Source organism: Homo sapiens, chromosome 1, assembly GCF_000001405.40.
Source record: "Homo sapiens chromosome 1, GRCh38.p14 Primary Assembly".
NCBI lineage: Eukaryota > Metazoa > Chordata > Mammalia > Primates > Hominidae > Homo > Homo sapiens.
The window spans coordinates 161,179,739-161,184,301 of NC_000001.11; the positions used below are offsets into that span (position 1 = coordinate 161,179,739).

General features: G+C 45.3%; 1 annotated feature.

Annotated features, from left to right (window-relative positions):
* Positions 2,627 to 2,686: an enhancer, noted in NCBI's record as "active region_1981". NCBI's record gives its function as "activates an Ori minimal core promoter by ATAC-STARR-seq in GM12878 lymphoblastoid cells {active_cell/tissue: GM12878}" and the evidence as "EXISTENCE:reporter gene assay evidence [ECO:0000049][PMID:35858748]".

Genomic DNA, 4,563 nt, shown 5'->3' on the forward strand with positions numbered 1-4,563 from the left:
TCATTTTTATGTTGGTATTGACAAAGACCATCTCCTTAACCAGACTTTCAACAGGCTCCTCTAAGGCCTCTTTTTGGCTAGGTCTTGTCCTTATGCGCTGTCTTGGGCCTGCCTAGCCAGTTATAGCAAGAATCCTGCCAAGTCAGTTTAGGGATAATTCCCTGCCCGCTTCTCCACCCTTGATAGCTGATCTATCTGATCACCCTCACCTGCCTTCAGGAAAGATCCTGTTAGGTCAGTTTAGCAAGAATCCTCCTAGCCTTAATGTAATTTTCCTTCCATCCACTGACTCTGATTCTGCTCATTGACTATTGCAATAGTCTTCCTTACTGTTTTAACAAGTGTCAGAATAATTTTTTCTTCAACAGTTTAAGGGTCATAATTTTACCTTCTTCTGAAAATTACCTTTTTTTTTTTTTTTTGAGACAGAGTTTTGCTCTTGTTGCCCAGGCTGGAGTGCAATGGCACCATCTTGGCTCACCGCAACCTCCGCCTCCTGGGTTCAGCCAATTCTCCTGCCTCAGCCTCCCGAGTAGCTGGGATTACAGGCATGCGCCACCACACCCAGCTAGAAAATTAACTTTTAACAGATGAATAGTGTTCCAAGCAGAGGAAACCATAAGTGCAAAATTCTGGAAATGAGGAAGAAATTAGGGAGTTTGGGAAATTAAAACTGGGCCCGCAAGGCTGGACAGTAGAGTGAAGGGAATGTTGAGATATGAGACTGGAGAGGTAAGCAAATGCCAAATAATGAAGGACTCCACAAACCATGCTAAAAGAGTTTGGGTCTTATCCAGAGGGCAAGAAGAAGGCATTAAAGTGCTGTAAATAGAGAGTGCTATGATCAGAACTTTAGGAAATGTGGAGCACTAATTGAAGTAGTCAAGACCAGAGGCAGGGAGACTATTTAGAAAGTTACTGCAGAAATCCAGGAATAAGATGAAGCTCATGCAGAATAGGTAATACCCGTGGGACTGGAGGGAAGAAAGTAACTTTGGGAACTTTCAGGAGGCAAACAGGACTTGAAGATTGACTGGATGTGCCAAGTTAGGGAATTGGACTCCAAGAGGACACCCAGATTTCTAATTTGGACCACTGGGTGGTGCCATTTAATGAGAAACAAAACTTAGGAAGAAGCACATTTTGGGGAAGGGGTAGAGATGACAAACTTTAGACATAATGAGTTTGAGGTGCCTGTGAAGGCTCAAAATGAGATAATGCTGGGTTTAAATACAATACCAACTTTGAAACCCATTGGCTGTGTACTGAGCAATACACTCTGGATTTCATCTGTAAAATGAACTCTAGCCTTAAGGGGTTTTGTGATCATTAGAACTATGGAAAACTTTTGAGCACAAATAGAAGCCAAGACAAAGCCTTGATTTTTTTTATTATAATTTTTTTTTTTTGAAGAGACAGTCTCACTATGTTGCCCAGGCTGGTCTCAAACTCCTGGGTTGAAGTGATCCTCCCGCTATGGCCTCCCAAACTTGATTTTTTGTTTGTTTTACTTTTATTATTTTTTATTATTATTTTTAGCTTCTGATATAGTATAACTCAAAAAGCCTTGATTTTTTAAGAATATCACTGTGTAGTGGAAAAGACAGACTTAAACAGATCATTGAAATGTGGTTCTTGGCCTGGCATCATGGCTCACGCCTGTAATCCCAACACTTTGGGAGGCCCAGTTAGGTGGATCAGTTGAGTTCAGGAGTTTAAGATCAGCCTGGGCAATATGGCAAAATTCCCTTCCAAGAAAAATACAAAAATTAGCTGGGCATGGTGGCTCACAGCTGTAGTTCCAGCTACTCACAGGGCTGAGGTGGGAGGATCACTTGAACCCAGGAGTTCAAGGCTGCAGTGAGCTGATTGCACCACTGCACTACTCCAGCCTGAGTGATAGAGCCAGATTCTGTCTCAAAGAAGAAAGAAAGAGAGAAAGAGAGAAAATGTGGTTCTCCCAGAGGACCCTTCCTTTGAGCCTCTGTTCCTCCATCGCGTTCTGTCTTACAGGACTGACCCTCACTTTCTTTTTTTTTTTTGGGATGGAGTTTCTCTCTTGTTGCCCAGGCTGGAGTGCAACAGCATGATCTGCAGCTCACCGCAACCTCCGCCTCCTGGGTTCAAGTAACTCTCCTGCCTCAGCCTCCCAAGTAGCTGGGATTACAGGCATGTGCTACCACGCCCGGCTAATTTTGTATTTTTAGTAGAGACGGGGTTTCTCCATGTTGGTCAGGGTGGTCTCAAACTGCTAACCTCAGGTGATCTGCCCACCTCGGCCTCCCAAAGTGGTGGGATTACAGGCTTGAGCCACCGCGCCCAGCCTTCACTTTCTGTCTCCTTCTGTATCTAACCATCTTCTTTTTTAGAGTCAGAGACTCACTCTGTCACCCAGGCTGGAGTGCAATGGCATGATTATAGCCCACTGCAGCCTTGAACTCCTGGGTTAAGGTGATCCTCCTGCCTCAACCTCTCAAGTAGCTAGGACTACAGGTGTGTACCTAGCTAATTTAGTTTTTTGTGGAGACGGAGTCTCACTCTGTTGCCCAGGCTGGTCTTGAATTCCTGGCCTCAAGTGAGCCTCCTGTGAGCCACCACAAAGGCCTATCTACTATCTTCTGGCCATTCCTTTACATTAATTTGTAAGCTCCCTGTTTTCAAGAACCTTCCCTTCTGCTCTGTCTCACCCTGGCCACACCCTGGACTTAGTCATCACCTAGAACTGTTATGTTTCTGAAAACTTAAATTTTAACATGCTGGTTTCCACCACAACATCCTGTCTTTCAATATTCTGAATAAATCCTGGGGCCCACACTGGCCCAGTCATGGCACATAACACAATAGAAGAAACCCAGTTTAGTAATCAAAAACTAATTTAAATCTCTACTTAATTTCTCAAGGAAATATCAGAGACAGGGGAAAGGGGCAGTGGATTAGGAGCACATTTTAATGGACAGCCCAATGTCTTTAAAATCCTCTGTCTCGGCCGAGCGCAGAGACTCATGCCTGTAATCCCAGCGCTTTGGGAGGCCGAGGCAGGTGGATCACCTGAGGTCAGGAGTTCGAGACCAGCCTGACCAACATGGTGAAACCCTGTCTCTACTAAAAATACAAAAATTAGCCGGGTGTGGCAGCACACGCTTGTAATTCCAGCTACTCGGGAGGCTGAGACAAGAGAATTGCTTAAACCTGGGAGGTGGAGATGGCGCCACTGCACTCCAGCCTGGAAAACAGAGGGAGACTCTGTTGCAAAAAAAAAAAATATTCCTCTCCCTCTTCCATTCAACATTTTCTACTTGGATGTTATTTCTTCCCAAAACTATCCCTTCCAACTCCCCTCAGCCTACACTGTTGTTCCAGATCTCTCTCCCACTCAGCTCTTTCTCTTACCATATTATCCTCCAGTTTCTGGTTTTCTGGTCTGTTCTCTTTACCTCTTTACCTCACTTTGGTTTTGTATAACATAGAAGAACCTGAACCTGACCTAGCAAACAGAAATCATGCCCCCCTGACACCCTCCCACCATCCATGGGTTCCCTGCAGTCTTACAGCTTTCTTTTTTTTTTTTGGAAACAAGTTCTCATTCTGTCACCCAGGCTGGAGTGCAGTGGCACAATCACAGCTCACTGCAGCCTCCACCTCCTGAGTTTAAGTGATCCTCCCACCTCAGCCCCCACCCCATTCCCTGAGTAGCTAGGACTACAGGCGTGCACAAGCACACCTGGCTAATTTTTTTTTTTTTTTTTTTTTTTTTTTTTTTTTTGAGATGGAGTCTTGCTCTGATGCCCAGGCTAGAGTGCAGTGGCATGATCTTGGCTCACTGCCACCTTTGTCTCCCAGGTTCAAGCAATTCTTCTGCCTCAGCCTCCCAAGTAGCTGGGATTACAGGTGCCCACCACCGTGCTGGCTAAATTTTGTATTTTTAGTAGCTATGGGGTTTCATCTTCTATCTACTAGGCTGGTCTCGAACTCCTGGTCTGGTCTCGAACCAGAGACCAGATTCTCAAACCAGGCTGATCTTGAACTCTGACCTCATGATCCACCTGCCTTGGCCTCCCAAAGTGCTGGGATTACAGGCATGAGCCACTGCACCCTGCCTTTTTTTGTATTTTTTGTAGAGACCAGGTTTCATCATGTCCCCCAGGCTGGTCTTGAACTTCTGGCCTCAAGTGATCCTCCCACCTTGGCCTCCCAAAGTGCTGGGACTACAGGTATGGGTCACTGTGCCCAGCCTTACTGCTCACTTCTAGAAGGAGAGACAGGCACCTCCTCCAGAAACACTTCTGTGGCCTCATATTCTGTGCTAGGTGCCCCTCCTTGATCATGGCACCTATCACAGAAGTCTGAAATTTTTGTCCTACTTGACTGTCTCAGCCACCAGATTGTGAACTCTGAGGATTAGGACCATGTCTTTCCTTTTATCATCCCTTCAATGTAAGCCAGAACTTTTTGCACAAATTTACAAAATGGCCCTTAGATCTGACCTAGACAGTTCCTTGATATAACTGTTTTCTCACGTGAATGCAGGGGTTAGAAGTCAGGGAGCAGACAAAGGAAGAGATA